The sequence below is a fragment of the Homo sapiens genome, chromosome 15 (assembly GCF_000001405.40).
Source record: "Homo sapiens chromosome 15, GRCh38.p14 Primary Assembly".
Taxonomy (NCBI): Eukaryota; Metazoa; Chordata; class Mammalia; order Primates; family Hominidae; genus Homo; species Homo sapiens.
Genome location: NC_000015.10, coordinates 75,906,360 through 75,931,368, shown reverse-complemented (window position 1 = coordinate 75,931,368; position 25,009 = coordinate 75,906,360). Strand labels below are relative to the sequence as shown.

Below are 25,009 nucleotides of genomic sequence, written 5' to 3'. Positions count from 1 at the left end.
CATTTACTCAATGGTTTCTCTTAACCACTGACAGAGTATGAAGACCACATTAAAATTAATGGGTCATGTGAAGAGTAATGATTGGGGTGGGGGGTGTTTCTCTTATTAGGTATAAAAAGTAGATGATATACAAATAGCTACACTTACAAGCTAGCACCTCAGATGTTATAAGTCTGAGTGAGGTATCTGCATTTCAAAGGTAAACTGTATGTTGAATCACCATTGCCCTATCCGTACACAATTTAAGTTAATAGCAAAGACACAGGAAAAATTAGGCAAGAGGGGAAATAACTTAGATAGCCACCAAGAATTCAGTGTATGTATGCACAAAATCCAGTGTTTGATATCCTGCCTGGGATTCAACGTACTTGGCCTTCCTCTCTTCCTCCTCCCTGGCAGTCCAGGGACCTCAACTTTAGCTATTTTCCCAGATCTAGCTCATAGAGATAACCAGAAGAGAGACTATAACTAGGATGACTTACATTATTCTTATAGATACTGATCTGCAACAGTCTGTCCCCATGTCACCACTCTAGGATGCAAATATTAAACAGAGTGGGAAACAAATAGTAGTGTTTACAAGCATTGAGGGTGGGGTAGGGTCTGATTTTCCTGCTGGAAACAAATGATATTTATGTCCACCTAATTGTTTCAAACTCAAAATGATATGTATTTTCATTCAAGATGGAAAGGAAGTAATGGCTCCCAAGACAGAAGAGCAAATATTTTTATCTTTGAAAGCAAAAGCCTTAGTAACAAAAAAGATCCACAATTTTTAAGCTTGAAAAAGCCTTTCAAAAGATCTAATACAGAATTTCCAAAAACCAGTACGACTTGCAAGACATTCTGTGGAAAAAAGTTTTGTGACCAAACACATTTGGGAACTGTCACAGGTAATGCTATTCTCCTTCCAGATTTCCACAGCACTGGGCATATTAGAAGCTCTGAGAAGTTTTGCCATAAAGATACACTCTAACCATGTGTTTCCTTTAAAGGAGGAAACTAGAAAGGAGGTGACACATTGAGGTCACACAGAGTACCACATCTGTCAAAGGAAAGATCAACAGGCAATGTCAAATTTTAAGGAGAATGTGACTCAAGGAAGTTCTTGAAGGACAATATATATAAAAATGTAATTATTCAACCGTAAGCAGAATTATGTTCAGTAAGCCCCTTAGCCAATGTCTACTACAAAATGGAATGAACTATTATCTTAATAATTCTTTAAACACGTTTTTTAAATTGTTAACCCCAAAGTGACAAAACCTGAGACCATTTCCCTTCATTCACAGACGAAATCAGAAGCACACAAGACATACTTTTCAGAAGTCAGTGATGACAGGTTGTCCACCTGGCCTCCAGCCAAGATGATATTCATATCACTGAAAGTGCTGACTACTTGCTGCAGATAATTACTGGCTCCCACCTTACAGCAATTATAACCAAAGACAAGGACCACACGAAGTTCAGGGTTATCTAAAAGACCTGCAGAGAAATGAAGAGCAACAGTTAAAGACAGCCTTAAAACAGAAATTATTTTATACATGCTGCAAAATGAAATGTTACTGACTTGCACTCCACCTTAAGGGCAATTTAGTGGCTTAAGCTATCAAATTTTCCATTTTTTATTTTTTATCTTATTTTATATCCTCTTCGATCTCTGTATCAAGTTTTCCATTTTTTACAAACATTATGCAAAATCTTAATTATTTTTTCTATTAAAAAAACTAAATGGCTATTTGTGTTAATAAATAATGCAATCAACACAAATAATGAAGCAGCTATGTACTGAGCAGCAACTCTTGGTAGACCAAGGTGCAAGCTGGCTCTCAGTAGGGAACAAAAAAAAAAAAACACTGGTTTACACAGAGCTGTGCTAGCAGCAGTGAGAATTTACAGATTTTTTATTTTTTAAAGGAGAGAAAAGGCGCTAACCACTTATAGTGTGGTGAACAGTGCCCCCTGCCCATGCCAAAGGTATATCCACATCAAACCTCTGGAACCTATGCATGTAAGCTTATTTGGAAAAAGGATCTTTAAAAAAAATTTTTTTTTTTTTGGTAGAGATGGGGTCTCGCTATGTTAGTAAGGATCTTAAGATTAAATCATCTGGTCTATCCACGTGGGCTCTAAATCCAATGACAGTGTCCTCATAATGAAAGATGTACAAAGGAGAGACAGAGAAGAAAAGGCAGTGTGACCACAGAAGCAGAAACTGGAGCGGTAGGAAGAGAAAAAGAACAGACTCTCCCCTACAGCCTCCCAAGGTAGCACTACCCCTACTGCCATCTCAATTTCAGACTTCTGGCCTCCTGAACTGTGCAGAATAAATTTCTCGTTTTATGTCACCAAATTTGGGGTACTTTGTTACAGCAGCCTAAGAAACTACTACATCACTGAAATACAGGCTTTATTCACCTCCTCCACGGAAGCAGGTGAGAGTAAAGGCGAATTAGCCTTTGAAAGTTCCTTGCAAAGCAGGAAAATGTTCAATTCTGTGACACAGGAACTAAAAGCTGCTACCGCTAGGAGGTGGCAGAGTGTAACAGAGACAGCCTACTTGCTCTGCCCACAGCTCCCAGGTTTCACTGGAGCCTCTGGCAGCTTGTTTATAGACTATCAATTTGATTTTTTTTTTAAGTTCAGGGATACATGTTCAGGTTTGTTCCACAGGCAAACGTGTGTCATGGGGGTTTGTTGTGCAGATTATTTCATCACCCAGGTAATAAGCCCATTCTCCATTAGTTATTTTTCCTGATCCTCTCCTTCCTCACACCCTCCACCCTCTGGTAGGCCCCAGTGTCTGTTGTGCCCCTCTTTGCGTCGATGTATTCTCATCATTTAGCTCCCACTTATAAATGAGAACATGCAGTATTTGGTTTTCTGTTTCTGTGTTAGTTTGCTAATGATAATGGCCTCCAGCTCCATCCATGTCCCTGCAAAGGACGTGATCTCATTCTTTTTTATGGCTGCATATGTACTACATTTTCTTTATCCAGTTTATCACTGATGGGCATTCAGGTTGATTCCATGTCTTTGCTACTGTGAATAGTGCTGCAATGAACATACATGTGCATGTGTCTTTATAACAGAATAATTTATATTCCTTTGAATATATACCCAGTAATAGGACTGCTGGGTCAAATGGTATTTCTGTCTTTAGGTCTTTGAGGAATCACCACACTATCTTCCACAATGGCTGAACTAATTTACACTCCCACCGACAGTGTATAAGTGTTCCTTTTTCTCCACAAACTTGCCAGCATCTGTTATTTTTTGACTTTTTAATAGCCATTCTGCCTAGTATGGGATACGATCTCATTGTGGTTTTGATTTGCATTTCTCTAATGATCAGTGATGTGGAGCTTTTTTTCCTATGATTGTTGGCCGCATGTATGTCTTCTGCCAGCATTACCAAACGGGTGCTTTGGGGACAGGAAAATGAATCTAATACCTAACACACTTGTGTTTCCATTTGATTTGACCACATGACTTCCACCTTGACAAACCTAAGGTGGTTACCAGAAAGGAGAGTTACTTAAGGAAACAAAGGGTATGCAGATGCGTGAATGACCAATTACTAACACCAAATAATGACCTATTCTGGGAAACTGCCTCTGGTCCATTTCCAATTCTCTACACAGTAAATTACTGACTTGGACAGTAAAAAGAATATTACTTTCATGACATCATATACCCCAAACCATTGCTAAAGCATCTTTTTTCCCTTATAGACTAGCCCACGAAATTTTAAGAGAATATATTTTCTTCTTTAGAACAAAGTTTCAGAGTTGGGAGAGGCCTGTGAGATCAAGTCTAGAGTTTTATTTTACAAACAAGGACTGCCAATGCCAGAGAAGTGACTACTACCCCAGGACAATATAATGACAGACTCTACATTAAAACCCACATCTCCTGACACTCAGGGCTTTAGCTTTTAGAAACCTCATGACTTCTAAATCTCAACCTTTCCTCCTGTTTTCTAAGCTCTAGATGCTCTTTTACAACATCCACTAAACATCCTACCTGAATATTCTAAAGGCAACCACTCCCATTCATTTAACAAACACATACCCAATGTAAAGGAAAATTTTAAAAAAATCTCAGGACCTCCAAACTCCTTATGCCAAAGGGAAAGTTTAGCCTAGAGGCTGAGTCAAGCGAAGCACCATCCTCTCTCCAAATTAATATTGCTACTTCACAACCCTGTGTCAGAGCATTATACATTAGCCAGACCTACCGCCTCACACCCCTCCCCCCGACCAGGAAAGGCAAAAGGCTTTAGGCATCTCCAGATGACTGCTCCCACAAATCATTCATAAGGAAAATCTTTGCTGGCCTCAAAACCTTTAAGATGTACATCCTCCCATAACACAAGGACATGTCAATTGTAACTCTAGGTCTGTAATCTGTTCAATTCCACACTGATAATGTCCATTGCAAGCTTATCTTCCCAGATGCTGCACAAAAACAAGAGATCAGTAATTCACCCACCTACTCTGAGACATCTGCATAAATGGTTCTTCCTTTCTTCAAAAGGTTCACCTTATCTTATGTAAAGTGTAGATTTACTGAGTACTAACTAAAGTCTCACAGGAATGTAACCATTCACCTCATGCCTATCCTTCCCCATCCTTCCTTCTCTCCTTTAAAAACATGTATTGAAAACCTCTTCAGAGTACACAGCCACTCGTTTGTGACTAGTGTTTTTCCCGGATACGCCCTCAACCTCTGGCTCAGTAAACCTCGAATGATGGAGATTCTCGCCTCAGTCACACATTCCAGTTAACACCATCTTCTCCAGTGGTGTTCTTTCAACATCTTCTCTAGTGGGTTGGTTCTCAGCTAATGGAACACTTCCCCCTCCTAATACACAACCCTAGAAAGTAGAATCACTTTCCCCTACCCCAACTTAAAGAACAAACCCACCTTAGCCAAGGCTGGCTGCCTGATAGAGCAGATGGCTCTGTATTTAACCAACAGACTACCTGGTGCTACCGGTAAATAACAGAGGGAAGGTACAACTCCAACTCCTTGACACTCAAAATTCAAAGGCCTAAAATATGAGGGAAGAATAAGGAGCAATGCCAAGTTTTCCTGAAAGGTTCTGGGTTCCCCCCAATTCATAGGTAAAGGATCATCAAGGACCCAATGTTCTGGGCCACCCGCCATAGAATCTGACTACAGATTTTATTCTAGAATTTTCCAAAAGTTGATACATTAGCAGGAGCTTACCACAACCATTAAAAACAATTCCAGAAAAGTATTTATAAGGCACTTTAAACAGTGTAACCTACTGGTGAACCTTTCAAGATGATAAGCTGGTTACAAAATGTAACCTTAGGTAACAGGATAAACTGACCTGCCATGTAGGATTGGCAACTATAATCAAGTTAACTACTGTAGTTGTCCACCAAGAGATGTCTTTGGTTTTGGAATAGGATGAAACTGTTCTTGCCAGTAATAATCTTGTTAGGTAAATTTAGCAAAGAATTGCCCCATCCTCTTAGGAATTTTTCATCCACCAAGCCCCCACCCTCCTCCTTGGCTATAAATCCCCATTTGTGGTTGGTGCATTTGGAGTTGAGCCTGATCTCTCTCCCCTAGTGCAAAACCCCATCACAGTGGTCTCCCAAATAAAGTCTGCCTCATTGTCTTGAATAGATGTCAGCATCGCTTTTTTTTTTTTTTTTAACACTAGCTTCCTGTCACTTCTGCTTTCTCAAGGGCTGGGCAACTTCGAAGGCAGAACAAGTTCAATCCCTTGAGCTTCAGCACTGATTCTCTCTGCTTCACACCTGGTACTGCCTATGACCCCTCAAGACTCTCTATGATGTCCTCAGATAATTTTAAAACTTTGTTCTTCTTCACACTTTTTTGGAATCTGACAAGTCATTAAAGTTCTATTTTACCCCTCTTGGTGGCTGGCAGAATTCAAGACAAGTAGTTAAAGGTTCAAAAAGCAGGGAGCAGAAAGAACCTGAACAATCTACAAGCTAGATCACCAGATCACCAATCTCACAACAAACACTAGTACAGAGCACCGTTCTAAGTACATTATAGAAATTAACTTATTTAATGCCTGTAACAACCTGTTACGTATTGTTTTATTCCTAAAAAGTCTGTGAGGATTCAATACTTCCAAAATTCACATTTAACATGCAAATTATATCCATATTACAGAAGCTAGATCAGACCAGACCAAAGTAAAATTAAATACACACCCCAGAACTGGCTGCCAGAAAGAACTGTGCCTACTGAGCTATGGAAAACACAGGACACTTCCAATCCTCTCCTTCAAAGAGCAAAGGCAACTGAATTCTTCAGAACTTCCTCTCTTGACCCTAAAATGTAAAAATCAATAGGAAAGCTTTTCTAATGGGACTCTCCGCAAATAAAACTCAAATCCAGAAAATCACTGTGCCCCAAAAGGCAATGTTACAGGTTTGTGCTTCACCTAGAAGAAAGTCAGAAGGATATTTGTAAAAGGAAAAGAGAGGGAGGATCCCAGGTGTGAGTCAACTGTTTGCTATATAACTAACCACCTCAAGCATTCTCAAAGGAGCAAAGAGGCTCTGGCTCTCAAGCTGAAGTCCATCTTGCCAACGCTCAGCAGTGCTAGGTCTGCTTTCTCAAGCTCTCCTGTCTGTGGTACAGACAGGTAGAGCTGCCAGGCACTGTAGAGCTGCCAGGCACTGCTCTGAGTCTAGAGCCCCTTCCCTGGATTACATGAAGGTTTAGAGGAAGAAGTGCATGAGCACTGCCAGGGAGGGAAGCTTCTCTCCCCTCCTCTGTTGCAGCTGGGGCTTTCAGACTGTGCTTTGGTGGGCAAAGCGTTCCAAAGATGCCTCCAGTGTAGGTGGAGGAGAATAAGCAACCTCAGTTCAAGGCCTAACATGCTCCCTTCACCCTTCAACCTAGAGGCTCTGCTTTTACCTGCTTTATTTTTATGTTGACATCCCATGTAAGACTGTACAAATGAAGTGTTTAAAACAAAAGCTAAGAAATGGCTCAAGGAGATCCTTACTGAGTAGTCTCAATAAAGCCTTTGCATTAGCAGAAGGGAGGGATGTCAAAATAATATTACAGCAGTACCAACCCTGGACAATCAACATGCACTACTGAGCCTCCTCCCCGGCCCTCCTCCTCAAATCACTGAAGCCAGTCCCTTTTGCTTCAATCACCATTAATTACCTGATGATTCCCAAATTAATATCTTTCCTCTAGACCATTCTCTAGAGCTCCAGGCCAACATATCCAACTGTCTATAATCAATATCTCCATCTCAAATTCCAAACATGTCCAAAACAGAACTGATAATCTGATCTTCCAACCCGCACCTTCAAATCTTCTTCACCTTAGTCAATGGTACTATACAGCTGCGCTAGCCACATACCCGCATGACATCGCTGTCACCTCCCTCATTCTCAACACCTAACATCTCATCAGTCACCACATCCTGTCCATTCAGCCCCAAACTTCATCTTGAATCCATTCACTTCTCTTCAACTCCACTCACCACTGCCCTGCTCCAAGCTGCCATCTCCTCTTTCCTTAACCACTACAACAGTCTGTGTCTCCTGCATATACTTTTTAAAAAAAATTATTTTAACTGAAAAATTTAAAAGGCATATATTTATCATGTTCAACATGGTGTTTTGAAATATATATACACTACTGAATGGCTAAATCAAGCTAATCCTGCATCCACTCTTGTACTCCAAAATGATCACCACATCATAGCAAGAGTGTTATTTTGAAAAGATCTATCAAATTATGCCACTCCTGTGTTTAGAAACCTGGCTTCTTGCTGCACTTCCCTCAAATATTTTTGATCTGTGGTTAGCTGAATCCATGAATGCAGAACCCATGGATATGGAAGGCCAACTCTACCTAAAATTAGGACACAAGATAGCAAGTGAAAGAATGAAGATGGCCATTTTAAGCTGGGCAAAGCTTCAATTTCCAGAAGAAAATGATGCCTTGGAATAAGCCAAAACTGCTGACATCAAGCAGCTCAGGAAAGGACACCTATAAGAAAGCTTCACAGAGCACAATAATTCTGGGGTTGTTTTTCCTTCCAGTTTTCTCATTCCTATACTTGGCACTATAATGCAAATATGATCTAACAAATATAGCAATTTTATCACAAAAGGGTTTCTGCTGCTCAAGATTTTGGCTCTTATAAACTGACAAAACTAGGGTCCTAGCTTCAACCAGTGCCACATATCAGGGCCTCATCAAAGATTCCCAGGATGCTCAGGTGGACAGAGGACAGAGTACTGCCCAGGAAACAGCTATGTCACCTCTCTGGACAAAAAAGGCAGCACACAAAAGGTTTGGCCATATGACCTTTAGCAGCAGCACTGAATCAACAGCCAAAACAAGCATCTCTAATGGGGTTTGATTTTTCCCAATTTCTTCTCCCAATCCCGCTCCTCCTGTCCCAGTGTTCCTATTTCTGGTCTCTGCACCACCATCACCCTTGTCTCCTAGGATCAAAACTCAAAAGTAATTACTGAGGCTTCCCTTCTCTTTCACATCTAATCATTTGTTCATTTCCTCCAATTCATTCCCTAGTCCTCATGCCCTAGTGTTATTTCTTGCCTGGACTCTAAAGTGGTCTCCCGCTTCCAGTGTCTCCCCACACAGGAGGGCCACATTCACCTCTGCTCGATGACATCTGAGTAACAGCTACCATTTTCTGTGTACAGGAGCTAAGCCCAGACTCTTTAGCCTGGCCTGAATGCGCCCCACCCTTTGTTCCCATGACTTCCCTGCACATAACCTTTGCTTGCAAAATGATTACTATTTCTCCAACATGCTCTGGGATTTCCTGGCTCTGTGCCTGTGTTTCTATGTTCCTTCAGCCAGTGATATTACTCATCCATATCTCTCATATGCTTCCCATCCTTCAAGGGCTTAAATACCACCTGCTTCTGGAAGCCTCCTTGATCCCTCCCACTGGCAGAACCCCTACAGCAATCTACCCATTCTGCTCTCACAGAACACCTCACATACTCACTTGGGTTATGATTATGCAGTCAAGCACCACATAACACTTTGGTCAAGGACAGCCAGGCGTGGTGACACGCACAGTAAGCATATGCAACAGTGGTGCCAGAAGATTAACAGAGCTACAAAATTCCTACTGCCTAATGTGTAGCACAACGCATTACTCAAATGTCTGTGGTGATGCTGTTGTAAACAAGCCTATTGCAGTGCCAGTCGTATAAAAGTATAGCACATACAATCACGTACAATGCATACTTGGCAATGACAATGAATGACTATGTTACTGGCTTATGATTTACTATCCTATACTTTTAATTGTAATTTTAGAGGTTACCCCTCCTACTTATTAAAAAAAAAAAAAAGTTAACTGTAAAACAGCCTCAGGCAGGTCCTTCAGGACGTATTCCAGAAGGAGGCACTGTTGTCATAGGAAATGACAGCTCCACATGTATTACTGCCCTGAAGACCTTGCAGTGGGACGAGATGTGGAGGTGGAAGACAGTGATATTATCTTGACTCTGTATAGGCCTAGGCTAATGTGTGTGACTGTGTTTTAGTTTTTAACAAAAAGCTTAAAAAGTTAAAAAAAAAATTAAAGGTGGAGAAAAGCTTACAGAATAAGGATATAAATGGAAATTTTTTTTGTCTAGCTAAAGTTAATTTATTATTAAAGAACAATTTTATTTTATTTTTTTGAGATAGAGTCTCGCTGTCGCCCAGGCTGGAGTGCAGTGGTGTAATCTTGGCTTACTACAACCTCTGCCTCCCAGGTTCAAGCGATTCTCCTGCCTCAGCCTACAGTAGCTGGGACTACAGGCGCACACCACTATGCCCAGCTAATTTTTGTATTTTTAGTAGAGATGGGGTTTCACCATGTTGACCAGGCTTGTCTCAAATTCCTGATCGCAAGGGATCCACCTACCTCGGACCTCCCAAACTGCTGGGATTACAGGCATGAGCCACTGTGCCCGGCCAAACAAAAATGTTTCAATTAATTTAATGTAGCTTAAGCATACAGTGTTTATAAACTATATAGTAGTATACAGGGCTAGGCCTTCACATTCACTCACCACTCACTGACTCACCCCACACCAACTTCTAGTCTTGCAAGTCCCATTCATGTTAAGTGCCCTATAGAGGTATACTGTCTTTCATACCATGTTTTTACTGTACCTTTTTAATGTTTAGATATGTTCAGATACACCAATACTTACCATTGTGTTACAACTGCCTACAGTATTCAGTACAGTAACATGCTGTCCATGTTTGTAGTCTAGGGGCAATAGGCTACACTGTATAGCCTACACATATAGTAGGCTGTAACATCTAGGTCTGTGTAAGTACTATGACATTCACACAACAACAACATTGCCTAAAGATGCATTTCTCAGAACTCATCCCCGTCATTAAGCAACATATGACTGTATATGTATTCTTCATACCTTTTCTGGAATGTCACTGAGACAGAATCTACATCCAGTTATGTCACCTTTAACATGCTGAATAAATTTTTATTTATTTATTTATTTTTGAGACAGGGTCTCACTCTGTCACCCAGGCTGCAGTAGAGTGGCGTGACTTCAGCTCACGGCAACCTCCGCCTCTTGGGCTCAAGCAATCCTCCCACCTCAGCCTCCTAAGTAGCTGGGACTACAGGTGCGTGCCACCATGCTTGGCTAGTTTTTTAGTTTTTTTGTAGAGGTGAGGTCTCACTATATTGTCCAGGCTGGTCTCGAACTCCTGGGCTCAAGCGATCCTCCCGCCTCAGCTTCCCAAAGTACTGAAATTACAGGCATGAGCCACCATACCAGCCTGAATAAAATTAATGTAGGAGTTCTACATTATGAGCCAATTGAATATAGATAGTCATCTCGTCAACATCAACACATTGATCATCTTCTTCCTTCCTTGTACTAAATTTGCTGCCATAAATCTTCCCAGAATCTGGGCTATGTTGCCCTGGACTGGCTTACTCCAAGGCCTTCAATGACACTTGATGCTTTTACAGGCAGACTGCCAGGCAACACACAAAATGGTTCTCAAACCAACATGTCTGACCACAGCCATTCCTTTGAGTTTCAGACCTACTATTTGCTAACCACCTGACCAACTCTGAAAAAGACCTAGTTTGCTGAACTTTGTTCGCTCCAGCTAGCCTACCAATATCAAGTCTCATTATGTTATTACAAAATCACATAAGCTCAGCACATAGCCACATTTGCTCCTAAAATTCATTTTGCCTTTACACTTAACAATGGGTCAGTTTTAAGGGCACTATCTGACCTTTTCCCAAAGGAAGTTTGGCATCCTTAATTTAGAATAGCTTTAACATTTCTGCTAACTCTGCTATTTACATACCCTAAGAGCCTTAACTCTCTACTGCCATTAAAGTTCAGTTTCCTCATCAAAAATATTCCATAAAGAATTCTGTCTGGCAAAGCTGTGGTGAAGATTAGAAGTGCTGCGCAGCACAGTATCTGGCATACAGTACCTCCATAAACATTGGCCATCGTTAATTGTCACTTCAAGCCCAGACACATGTATGCTCCTCTGGCATGTGGCTTCTGAATGAGCTAAGGACACTTAGAACCCTACTATTCCCCCCACAAACTACAAGGCCACACTGCAGATGAAGGGCCCATGTGACACACAGTAAAGCCTGCCTAGGGTGGAGGCCAACACTAGCATCTAGCTACAATCTACTGTTGCTAAGCGTTTTATGAAAGTCATTTCATTTAATCTTCACAATTCTGTGAATTCAATGTTAGTTATTTCCACTTTATAGATGAGGAAAATGGAGGTTTAGAAAAATTGAAAAACTTGCCCTAACTGGAGAGCCAGAAAGTAGCAGAACTAGAGTAGCTACAAGCCTGCAATCTTTTAAGGTTGACTACCTTCTATTTATTTTTTAACTGACAGATAAAATTGTATGTATTTATCAATGTATAACATGTTTTGAAGTATATATACATTGTGGAAGGGCTAAGTCTAATTCACATATGCATTATCTCACAGTTACCATTTTTGTAGTAAGAACACTTAACAGTCACTCTCTTAGCATTCTTCAAGAATATAGTATATGGGCCAGGCACGATGGCTCACACCTGTAATCCCAGCACTTTGGGAGGCCGAGGCAGGTGGATCACTTGAGGCCAGGAGTTTGAGACCACCCTGGCTAACATGGTAAAACCCTATCTCTAATAAAAAGACAAAAAAAATTAGCCAGGCATGGTGGTGCATACAGCATGTAGTCCCAGCTACTCGGGAGTCTGAGGCATGACAATCACTTGAACCCTTGAACCCAGGAAGTAGAAGTAGCAGTGAGCTGAGATCATGCCACCGCACTCCAGCCTGGGCAACAAAGTGAGACTCTGTCTCCAAAACAAACAAAAAAAAGAATATATGGTCACTGACTATAGTCTCCATGTTGTACAACAGACCTCAAGAACTTATTCCTCCAAAACGAATTTTGTATCTTTTGACCATCATCTCCCCAAAGCCCCTCCCAACCACCCCAGATCCTGGTGCCTGCCATTCAACTCTATATTTCTATGAGAGCAACATTTTTAGATTCCACACATGAGTGAGATCATGCACTATTTGTCTTTCTGGGCCTGGCTTATTTCACTTAACATCCTCCAGGTTCATCCATGCTGGTGCAAATGACAGGATGTCCTTTATGGCTGAAGAGTATTTCATTATGTATGTATACCACATTTTCTTTATCCACCATCAGCTAATGGACACTTAGGTTAATTCCATATCCTAGCTATTGTGAACAGTGCTGCAATAAACATGGGAGTGCAGATATCTCTTCAACATACTGATTTCATTTCTAAGTCAGCATTCTTAATAGCTACACTACCCTGTGTCACACCAGAGCTGGCTGTTGAGACTTTCCACCATCTACTTTGACCTGACCACCCTCTTCCACATTATTAAGAGGTTCCCGGCTGAGTCTTTGCTGCTAATGCCTCTTGTTCTGTGCTTCCCCTCCCATCCACCAATGACTTGCAAGTTTTTTTTTTTTTTCCACATTGTCAGGGATAGTTGTAAAAACTAGTCTCAATGTGTATACCCCCTTTTTTTCCTCATCAGTAAAACAAATTTTACCTTTGCTGCTACACAATTTTTTACTCCAGCTGGTTTAAGTCCCATTTCAAATAACAGAGGTTTATCTCTATAGGCTGGCTGATCTATGCAAAAATGAGGTGTTACCACTGAATAGTTTTTATGCCAACAGTGATTTTTAATGAATGAAGTGAATTCAATCAGTCCATCTGCAGATGTAGATAAAAGGCTAAACGCTGCTTTCCTTGAGTAATTCGTTTGTTGTTTACTATATTAAGTTAAGCTTTCCCATCCAAGCTTAGACATTAAGCCAACCCTTTACCTCTTCAAATTCACTTCAGGGCTCCATCCACACTACCTGCAGGATGTTTCCCAGCACACCCCTTGCTTGATAGACTTGCCTTAACTCATATATTTCCTAAGACTCATCAGGGTCACTTTACTTGTTCCCATCTTTCTAATTAGTTCACAAAGAACTAACCCGCGTATTCTAAAAACTTCTAAAATGCTTGTTACTAGAATAAAAAAGGTTAACAAAACAAAAATAGAGCAAAATGAAATAAACTATTAGAGCAAGAATTCCTTAAAATTCAGAACTAAATACAAACAAGTTTATCATCAACAGAGTATTTATGAAAAATTTTTCATCTCTGGTTCTCTTGGGCTTTAATGCAAGTAAAATAATTTAAAAAGTAAATCAATTCTACCAAACATGTATCACACTGGCCTCTGTGAATCACCTGTTTGAATTAGCCACATCTCCAGTGACAGGTGTACTTAATTCAGATTCTCCCAAAGGAACCTAATATCCACCAACTAGCCAGAATTAAAAAGAAAACAAAATTAATCAATAAAATGAGCAGTTAATGATAAATAAAAGTAACTTACCTACTTCAGTGAGTTGATGTCTTTCTAATGTTAAATTCTTTGGATCCTTAATAAAATGAAAGGGTTGTATTTTTATTCCTTCAATTTGAGGGAATAATAAAGCAAAACCAGATTCTCCAATTTCTATTTCCTGAGGTCGATTGCTACCTGATCCCATTGGAGTCACTAGAGAAAAAGTTAAACAGTTTCACCAATAGAGTCAGTAAAAACTAGATAACTACAGTTTAGGTCACTAAGATAATCATTAAGCTAACAAGCCACTATCTGAGTAAAAGTTTTTCAGCTTTGACAGTTTTAGGGTGTAGTGTCATGATGTTTGCCATTTAACTTTCAAATGGTTCAGAAAGAAATTTTTTATAAGCAAAGTGAGAAAAAATAAATGTTGCAAAATTTTTTCAACTGCTAAACTAGATAAAGGGTATATGGGTATTTATCATGCTGTTCTATTATTCTTTCAACTTCTCCATATTTTTCAAATTAAAAAGTTGGGGGGGTAGTAAATACACTTTCACAGCAATTCCAATTTTTAAAAGTTTACCCTAAAAATATTTGACAATTATATAAAGTATATATATACCCAAGTATTTTATCACATAATTTCAAATAGAAAATAAAAAGAAAAAACCTGAATGTCCCACACTGGTATTCAGATTAAAAGTTACATTGGTATCATAGAATATAGCCATTAAAATGATGACAAATATATATTTATAGACATGGAAATATGTTTGTAATATGCTCTGAATTTTACAGGTAGATATTACAGATTGAACTGTGTCATTCCCTCCCTACTGCCTACCCCAAATTCATGTTTAAGCCCTAACCCCCCATGTGACTATATTTGGAGATAAGGCCTTTAAAGAGATAGTTAAGATTAAATGAGGTCACAAGGGTAGGACCCTAATCCAACAGGACTAGTGTCCTGAGAAGAGGAGGAAGAGACACCAAGCATGCTTATGTATGAAGAAAAGGCCACATGAGAACACAGTGAGAGAGCAGCTGTAAGTAAGCTTCAGAGAGACCATCCCCGATCTTGGACTTCTAGCCTCCCAAACTGTGAGAAAATAAGCTTCCGTTGTTTAAGTCACCCAGTCTGTGGTATTTTGTTATGGTAGCCCTAGTAGACTAACACAGTAGGTTACAAGTCTACAGAAAATTGTATTCTGGTTTTTTATATTTACATACATATATAAATAGAGGTTAACATCATAAGAGTGGTTAACTCTGTGGTGCTTAAAGGTGCTTTTGCTTATCTGAATCTTCTAATTTTTTTTTTCTAAAAATAACTATTACTAGTATAAAAAAAGAAATAAACTTTTTTTTTTTTTTTTTTTTTTTTGGAGACAGAGTCTTACTCTGTCACCCAGGCTGGAGCGAAGTGGTGCAACCTCTGCCTCCCGGTTTCCAGCAATTCTCCTGCCTCAGCCTCCCAAGTAGCTGGAATTACAGGCATGAGCCACCATGCCCAGCTAATTTTAGCTTTTTTTTTTTTTTTGAGACAGAGTCTTGCTCTATCATCCAGGATGGAGTGCAATGGCGTGATCTCGGCTCACTGCAACCTCTGCCTCCCGGGCTCAAGCAATTCTCCTGCCTTAGCCTCCTGAGCAGCTGGGATTACAGGTGCCCGCCATCATGCCTGGCTAATTTTTGTATTTTTAGTAGAGATGGGGTTTCACCACGTCGGCCAGGCTGCTCTTGAACTCCTGACCTCATGATCCACCCACCTCGGCCTCCCAAAGTGCTGGGACCACAGACGTGAGCCACTGCGCCTGGCCAATTTTTACATTTTTTAGTAGAGATGGGGTTTTGCCATGTTGGCCAGGCTGGTCTCCAACTCCTGACTTCAAGTGATCCGCCTGCCTCGGCCTCCTAAAGTGCTGGGATTACAGGTGTCAGCCACCACGCCAGGCCAAAAAGAAATAAACTCTTTTTTTTAAAAAAATGTTAAGCCCTTTAGAAACCACAGCTAGAGCAACTGAACAAATAATATTCATTTGTAAACATGTAAAATTCTTTTTACCTCACTGTATAAGACTCAAATTCAGATCAAAAATCTTTCAGTGAAGATTAAAAATGACAATTCTCAGTAGAGTACTACTGAGTTGGAACAAAAAAACATAACAGCAGCCAGGTGCAGTGGCTCATGCCTGTAATCCCAGCACTTTGGGAGGCTGAGGCGGTGGATCACCTGAGGTCAGGAATTTGAGACCAGCCTGGCCAACATGGTGAAACCCGGTTTCTACTAAAAATACAAAAATTAGCCAGGTGTGGTGGTGGCGGGCGCCTGTGATCCCAGCTACTTGGGAGGCTGAGGCAGGAGAATTGCTTGAATCCAGGAGGCAGAAGTCGCAGTGAGTAGAGATCACGCCATTGCACTCCAACCTTGGTGACAAGAGTGAAACTCCATCTCAAAAACAATACATAAATGACAGCTAACATTTACTTACTGCTTTGTGTATCTCTATTGTAAATGCTTTACAAGTGTTAACTCATTTAATTCTCACAACCCTCCAAGGAAGGTACTACTGTCATCATCCCCACTTCCTTGATGAGGACAGTGAAGCCCCATGAAGTTAGGTAACTTGCTCAAAGTCATACAGATACTAAGCGGTACAGCCGGCATTCGAATCCAGGTATCTAACCATTGCACCATTACTGCCTCAACAGAATCTCTCCTCCCCCAGTTAACTACAGAAAAGAATCAAAAATAATAAAAACCAGCAAAAATTCACCAGCAGCAATCAAGCATGGAAAGGGGCACAACCTCATGCTGTAAACATTGAAGAGTGGTACCAAAGCAGAGAAACAGAAGTCTCCTAGTAAGGCCCAGCTTTGCTCCTAATCCCAGCCCCATCTCACCCCTACCCACCAAACACAATACTGCTTGAACTGACAAAACTCTGAAAATGCCCACAAATACTTCCTAATTTGGAGGAAGGCAGAATGAGATCATTCCCCTCTTATGAATGACTACTGGATATTTATACAGGTAACCTTGAGATGAGAAGTACAATAACTTAATAAACATTAATATAAGGCAAATATAATGCCATGGTAAATATGACTGACTTTATTGTATTTTAGATGGACAGAAATAGAAATGTGGTTCTAAGCTAAAAATAACTCACCAATCCAAAGGACCCCACATTAATGCAAGGAAGAAATCATCAAGTTGCTAATTTATCTCACCTACAATTCCTGGGGTCACAATCCCAAGGACTTGGCATTGTTTGGGGAATAGCTTCTCAAGGGCAAGTGCTGTTTCCATACTAGTTCTTTTCCTTGCTGTAAAAATACAGTAGCAAAATGATAAATATCATCCATTTAAAGTCAAATCTGAGAATGAAAAAGTAAAAAAGCAAATACTGGAAATATTTAAGTCATTTAACACGAGAATGCTCTAAATAAAGGTCTAAAAGCATTGATTAAAACAAACACTTTACCTGTTTTGGTCCTGGCTTTTAAATTATAAATCTGATCTTTTGCACCACTAGTCTGCCTTTCCCCTCTGTTCATATATTGCTTTTGCCCCAGTGATGTCAAATTTAGCAGTAACAGCTGAATTTTAGACTTGCTATTGTACCTTTCTGTTCAGCTGATATTGCAGTATAACTACTATTTGCATCAACAGTCACCTGGATCAAATTAGACAATGAGAATCCATTATCTAAGTCTAACTTGGGACCTGAGTGTGCGCATCTTGGATACCCATTCTGCCTTTTCCCTCAGCAAGCCAAAAATGCACCATTTCTCTACATAACTTTAGTAAATGGGACCTCATGTTCCAATACAGTAAAAGGCCTGAATAGCCAAGTCATACAACCTGTTTTAATAATAAAAAGTGCCTGGAGAATTAAAGCATCTCAAATTGAGAACAACACCTTTCTAACGAATTTGTTTCAATTGCACTACAAGGTTTAGAAATCAATCTGAAGCAGAAAGGGTTCCTCAAGGTTCAAAGATAGATATATTGATGCATACTACAGGTGGCAGTCCCAGAGCCTCAGAAAGTCAGTTAACTCTCAGGACAAGTATAATATTGAACTCCGAACGGAAGGCACATGATAAAAAAACAGAAGCAAAAGCTTTTCTTTTGATATTTACCTCTCTTATGGCCACGACACTCTTCCAGACTAATGAAAGTTTCTGAATCAGCCATGTAAAGAACTGTATGTGGTAAGATGCGAACATTCTGCAAAGAAAAAAAAAAAATTGGAATTGGATCCCATGAATCCATCAGTGCTTCTGCATAGTCCCTTGAAGTATCACCCAGTCCATAGTGCAATCAAATTAGAACTCAGGATTAAGAAACTCACTCAAAACCACACAACTACATGGAAACTGAACAACCTGCTACTGAATGACTACTGGGCAAATAACAAAATAAAGGCAGAAATAAAGAGGTTCTTTGAAACCAATGAGAACAAGGACACAATGTACCAGAATCTCTGGGACACAGCTAAAGCAGTGTTTACAGGGAAATTTATAGCACTAAATGCACACAGGAGAAAGCAGGAAAGATCTAAAATTGACACCCTAACATCACAATTAAAAGAACTAGAGAAGCAAGAGCAAACAAATTCAAAAGCTAGCAGAAGGCAAGAAATAACTAAGATCAGACCAGAACTGAAGGAGATAGAGACAAGAAAAATCCTTCAAAAACTCAATGAATCCAGGAGCTGGTTTTTTGAAAAGATTAACAAAATAGACTGCTAGCCAGACTAACAAAAAAGAAAAGAGGAAAGAATCAAACACACACAATAAAAATGATAAAGGGGATATCACCACTGATCCCACAGAAATACAGACTACCATCAGAGAATACCATAAACACCTCTATGCAAATAAACTAGAAAATCTAGAAGAAATGGATAAATTCCTGGACACATACCCCCTTCCAACACTAAACCAGGAAGAAGTCGAATCCCTGAATAGACCAATAACAAGTTCTGAAATTGAGGCAGTAATTAATAGCCTACCAACCAAAAAAAGCCCAGGACCAGACGAATTCACAGCCGAATTCTACCAAAGGTACAAAGAGGAACTAATACCATTCCTTCTGAAACTATTCCAAACAACAGAAAAAGAGGGACTCGTCCCTAACTCATTTTATGAGACCAGCATCATTCTGATACCAAAACCTGGCAGAGACACAATAAAAAAAGAAAATTTCAGGCCAATATCCCTGAATATCGATATGAAAATCCTCAATAAAATACTGGCAGACCGAATCCAGCAGCACATCAAAAAGCTTATCTACCACAATCAAGTCGGCTTCACCCCTGGGATGCAAGGCTGGTTCAACATATGCAAATCAATACACGTCATATAAACATATACATCATATAAACAGAACCGATGACAAAAACCACGAGTATCTCAATAGATGCAGAAAAGGCCTTTGATAAAATTCAACACCCCTTCATGCTAAAAACTCTCAATAAACTAGGTATTGATGGAACGTATCTCAAAATAATAAGAGCTATTTATGACAAACCCACAGCCAGTATCATACTAGATGGGCAAAAGCTGGAAGCATTCTCTTTGAAAACTGGCACAAGACAAAGATGCCCTCTCTCACCATTCCTATTCAACATAGTATTGGAGGTTCTGGCCAGGCCAATCAAGCAAGAGAAAGAATAAAGCATATTCAAATAGGAAGAGAGGAATTCAAATTGTCTCTGTTTGCAGATGACATGATTGTATATTTAGAAAACCCAGTCATCTCAGCCCAAAATCTCCTTAAGCTGATAAGCAACTTCAGCAAAGTCTCAGGATACAAAATCAATGTGCAGAAATCACAAGCATTTCTAAACACCAATAACAGACAAACAGAAAGCCAAATCATGAGTGAACTCCCATTCACAATTGCTACTAAGAGAATAAAATACCTAAGAATACAACTTACAAGGGATGTGAAGGACCTCTTCAAGGAGTACTACATACCACTGCTCAAGGAAATAAGAGAGGACACAAACAAATGGAAAAACATTCCATGCTCAAGGATAGGAAGAATCGATATCGTGAAAATGCCCATATTGCCCAAAGTAATTTAGAGATTCAATGCTATCCCCATCAAGCTACCACTGACTTTCTTCACAGAGTGAGAAAAAACTACTTTAAATTTCATATGGAACCAATAAAGAGCCTGTATAGCCAGGACAATCCTAACCAAAAAGAAAAAAGCTGGAGGCATCATGCTACCTGACTTCAAACTATACTACAAGGCTACAGTAACCAAAACAGCATGGTACTGGTACCAAAACAGATATACAGACCAATGGAACAGAACAGAGGGCTCAGAAATAACACCACACATCTACAACGATCTGATCTTTGACAACTCTGACAAAAACAAGCAATGGGAATATGATTCACTATTTAATAAATGGTGTTCAGAAAACTGGCTAGTCATATGCAGAAAACTAAAACTGGACCCCTTCCTTACACCTTATACAAAAATTAACTCAAGATGGATTAAAGACTTAAATGTAAGACCTAAAACCATAAAAACACTAGAAGAACATCTAGGCAATACCATTCAGGACATAGGCATGGGCAAAGACTTCATGACTAAAACACCAAAAGCAATGGCAACAAAAGCCAAAATTGACAAATAGGAGCTAATTAAACTAAAGAGCTTCTACACAGCAAAAGAAACTATCATCAGAGTGAACAGGCAACCTACAGAATGGGAGAAAATTTTTGCAACCTATCCATCTGACAAAGGGCTAATATCCAGAATCTACAAGGAACTTAAATAAATTTGAAGAAAAAAACAACCCCATCAAAAAGTGGGCGAGGGATATGAACAGACACTTCTCAAAAGAAGACATTTATGTGGCCAACAAACATACGAAAAGAAGCTCATCATTACTAGTCATTAGAGAAATGCAAATCAAAACCAAAATGAGATACCATCTCATGCCAGTTAGAGTGGCGATCATTAAAAGGTCAGGAAACAACAGATGCTGGAGAGGATGTGGAGAAACAGGAACACTTTCACACTGTTTGTAGGAGTGCAAATTAGTTCAACCATTGTGGAAGACAGTGTGGTGATTCCTCAAGGATCTAGAAAGAGAAATACCATTTGGCCCAGCAATCCCATTACTGGGTATATACCCAAAGGATTATAAATCATTCTACTATAAAGACACATGCATATGCATGTTTACTGCAGCACTATTCACAATAGCAAAGACTTGAAACCAACTCAAATGCCCATCAGTGATAGACTGGATGAAGAAAATGTGGCACAGATACACCATGGAACACTATGCAGCCATAGAAAAAGGATGCACTCATGTCCTTTGCAGGGACATGGATGAAGCTGGAAACCATCATTTTCAGCAAACTAACACAGGAACAGAAAACCAAATGCTGCATGTTCTCATTCATAAGTGGGAGTTGAACAATGAAAACACATGGACACAGGGAAGGGAACATCACACACCAGGGCCTGTCAGGGAGTGGGAGATTAGGGAAGGGATAGCATTAGGAGAAATACCTAATGTAGATGACGGGTTGATGGGTGCAGCAAACCACCATGGCACGTGTATACCTATGTAACAAACCTGCATGTTCTGCACATGTATCGCAGAAATTTAAAAAAAAAAAAAAGTATCACCCCATCCAAACTGCTGGTACCCTACCTTCTTTCAGGTCAATGTTGGCATTCTGAGTCAATCTACTTCTCATTTACTTTTCACTCATGCTCTTTCATTTTCAGTTCATTTACTAAACACCTATAATTTCTTCATTCCAGCCCTCAAAAAGTTCATTTTCATAATGATAACTGAAGCTCTTAGAACAAAAACATCAAGTACCAGCAAAAGATGCACTTGCTTTATTTGAACAGGCATCACAGTATCAGAAAAATCTCAGCACTGGGGAAGGTATACAGGCTGTATCACTCCCTTTTCACTGCTTATCAAATCAAATACTCCAAGCCTCCATTTCCAGGCTTGCCAGCAAGGCTTCCTTCAGGGCCCCTTAGCTTACTATTAATATTATCCAGACACACCGACTTCCCCATATGTTCTATTGCTCTGTTCTTGTGGAACTTAAGACTGTTTCCCTCTAGAGACACCTTAAGTGCCACCTCCTCTCCAAAACCTTTTCCTAAACTCCCTCAGTACTCTGGACCTCAGATGCAACATCCCTTACCCCTAGTTAATCTTATTTGTCCCCTATCTCCCCTATGAGCTGGGCTTATTCAGACTCACCTGTTTTCAACTAAACTTTCCAATTGAAGACAAGCGGCAAAGCAGCTGAATTAAATGAAAAGGATGATATATTTTTCCAAGCTAGCTATTTTCAAATATTTTTTACTACCAGAATAAAATGAAGTACTTAGGATATAGCAAAGCCTCATTGTTAGTTAAATGGAAAAAAAAAGTTGGTCCATTATAATTTGAGGGAATGCCAAGATGTTTCAGAATACATTCTACATAGATAAACTAATAAAAGAGACAGATAGCATGATGGCCTGTGGGGCCCAGGGCTGCCCAAGACCTACGGATATAGTTTCCTTGGTCCACACAGCATTTTCAGAAAATGTAAACTGAATGCCAATGTTCAAAATTCCACCGAATTTTTACATAAAATGTGGATTTCCAGATTCTTTTTAAAAACTGGACATTTTGGCAACACTTAGACTACGTGCCTCTTAACTAAGGCTAAACGGAGGCAAGCCTTTCCAGACTGCCATGGTGCTACGACTATTGAGCTACCTGACCCTCTTCAGCTACCTGCCTGACCTTCGAGTCATCTGAATCTGTGATGCCTGGTATAGTGAGTAAAGGAGACAGAAAAAGAGATTTACGGGCAAGGCACAGTGGCTCACGCCTGTAATATCAGCACTTTGGGAGGCCACGGTGGGTGGATTGCCTGAGGCCAGGGTGAGACCAGCCTGTCCAACATGGTGAAACCCCATCTCTACTAAAAATACAAAAAGTAACCGGGTATGGCTGCATGCGCCTGTAGTCCCAACTACTCAGGAGGCTGAGGCAGGACAATCACTTGAACTAGGAAGGTGGAGGTTGCACTGAGCCAAGATCGGGCCACTGCAATCCAGCCTGGGCGACAGGCGAGACTCTGTCTCAAAAAAAAAAAAAACCAAACAAAACAAAAAACAGATTTAGGTCTTAGTGGCAACTCTGCCACAAACCAGCAGAATAACCCTCAGCAAGCTTTTAGGCCTCAGGTTTCTTACTCCTGAACAAGTATTAAAAGTCTGGTCCTGAGAGTTTATGAGGCATCCACTGAAAAGCAACTGCTGAATTTTCCTTCCTAATTCACACTAGAAGTAGTGACATAACAAGCCTCAATATGAAATGTTCTCAAAGCACAGTTAAGACAGCTGACACCACATTCCACTGTTCAAAGAAGTTACAAATGGCAAGCTGTTTTATAAAGCTTTTGGTGGACTTTAAAAAAATTTTTTTTTTTTGAGACACAGTCTCACTCTTTATCACCCAGGCTGGAGTGAAGTGGTGCAATCTCAGCTCAAGCAAACTCCATCTCCCTGGTTCAAGCGATTCTGGTACCTCAGCTACCCAAGTAGCTGCGATTATAGGTTTGCACTAACATGCCCAGCCAACTTTTGTACTTTAATATTTTTATTTATATATTTGATATTTTTAAATATTTATATTTTTTTAGTGGAGACGGGGTTTCACCATGTTGGCCAGGCTGTTCTCTAACTCCTGACCTCAAGTGATTTGCCTGCCTCGGCTTTCCAAAGTGCTGGGATTATAGGCATGAGCCACCATGCCTGGCGGACTTTAAAATATTTCTAATAGAAAAGTTAAATCAACTTTCTTTATGGCTATAAAAGTACCCATGTCCACTAGATAACTTGGAAAACACAAATAAACAGCACGTATGATTTGGATAGAGTTTTCATGTTTTTGTCTCACCAGCAGTTTACTACAATGGAGGAACTCCTCTAAGGGCATTACTATAACTATGTGAACTTTAATAATGATACTAATAAAAGAATATTTAATAGACATCTATTGAGAACTTATGCTCCTGGTATTGTAAGTAATGTTTATATGCATTACCTTTTCATTATTTAATCCTCACAACAACTCTATAAGGGCATAGGAAAATTATTATTTTTCTTTTTATTTTATGGAGATAGCACCTGAGGCTCAGAGAGGTTGAGTAGCTTTTTCAAAGTCACACCGCTGGTATATGCCAAAGCTATGGTTCACAACTAAGTCTGTCTGGCTATTAACAGCCACTACAATGTATAAACTCTTAAAGCTATAGAAAAATCATGCCTGCTGTGGTAAAAATTTGAAAACTTTTTAAAAACCATAGAAAACTTTTTAAAAACAGTAAATGGAAAAAAAAGCTAACATTTTGGCTTTCTTTTCTACTCTCCCTTTTTTGTCTTTAATAATTCAGATGATACTAAATATATAATTTCATAATCTGTTTTCACTTTTAAAATCAACATTTTCTCTTGTCATTAATGCATTTGCAGTCTATAATTTAATAGCTTTATTTATTAGATTAACATTAGGTTTTTAGTATCCCTTATTATAAACGATGCTCCAGAGAACACTTTCGAGGAAATCTGCTTGCATTTTGAATTTTTCCAAATGATAAACTTCTGGGAAAATGGGAAGAGTTGAGACAAAGTGCCAGAGAAGAAAAGTTTTCTACAAGCCTGCCTTTGGATACTGGCCAGCTCCCTGGAATGAGAGTTCCAGAGCCCAAACAAGGTAAGGAGAAAGACCACCCAAGGAAGGGGGAAACAGAAGATTGGTTACATATGGGGCATTGATGTAATATCTAAATACATTAAGAATGATGAGAACCAGGTTTCCCTTTGCCCAAAAGGGAGGTACAAATATGAGCAGAGACAAAACTAGAAAGCATCCTGCGTTTGATTCGAAAAGGATGCACCTGTGTGAACTCATGAGCCTCCACATATATATAGAAATATAATTGTAAATGTGTGTATATGTATATACTAATGTATATACATACACATGCATGTATATACATACTTATATTCCTT

At 39.7% G+C, this 25,009-nt stretch overlaps 1 protein-coding gene across 4 annotated transcripts in view; it reads right to left on the bottom strand.

The window, feature by feature from the left end:
* The window catches only part of FBXO22 (F-box protein 22), a 38,634-nt gene that overhangs the window by 11,143 nt on the left and 2,482 nt on the right, over positions 1–25,009 (bottom strand). For 3 of the 4 annotated variants that reach the window (NR_037623.2, NM_147188.3, XM_047432382.1), the window contains 4 exons: positions 18,079–18,166; positions 17,164–17,259; positions 13,975–14,139; positions 1,320–1,485 (listed from right to left, as the gene is read on the bottom strand). Coding sequence is in view for 3 of the 4 variants with exons in the window: in NM_147188.3 (NP_671717.1) it covers positions 1,320–1,485; positions 13,975–14,139; positions 17,164–17,259; positions 18,079–18,166 (515 nt within the window). In the remaining variant the exon portion in view is untranslated. Of the gene's footprint in view, positions 1–501; positions 1,486–13,974; positions 14,140–17,163; positions 17,260–18,078; positions 18,167–25,009 lie in introns of those variants that run through there. The other variant, NM_012170.4, reaches the window with a different exon arrangement.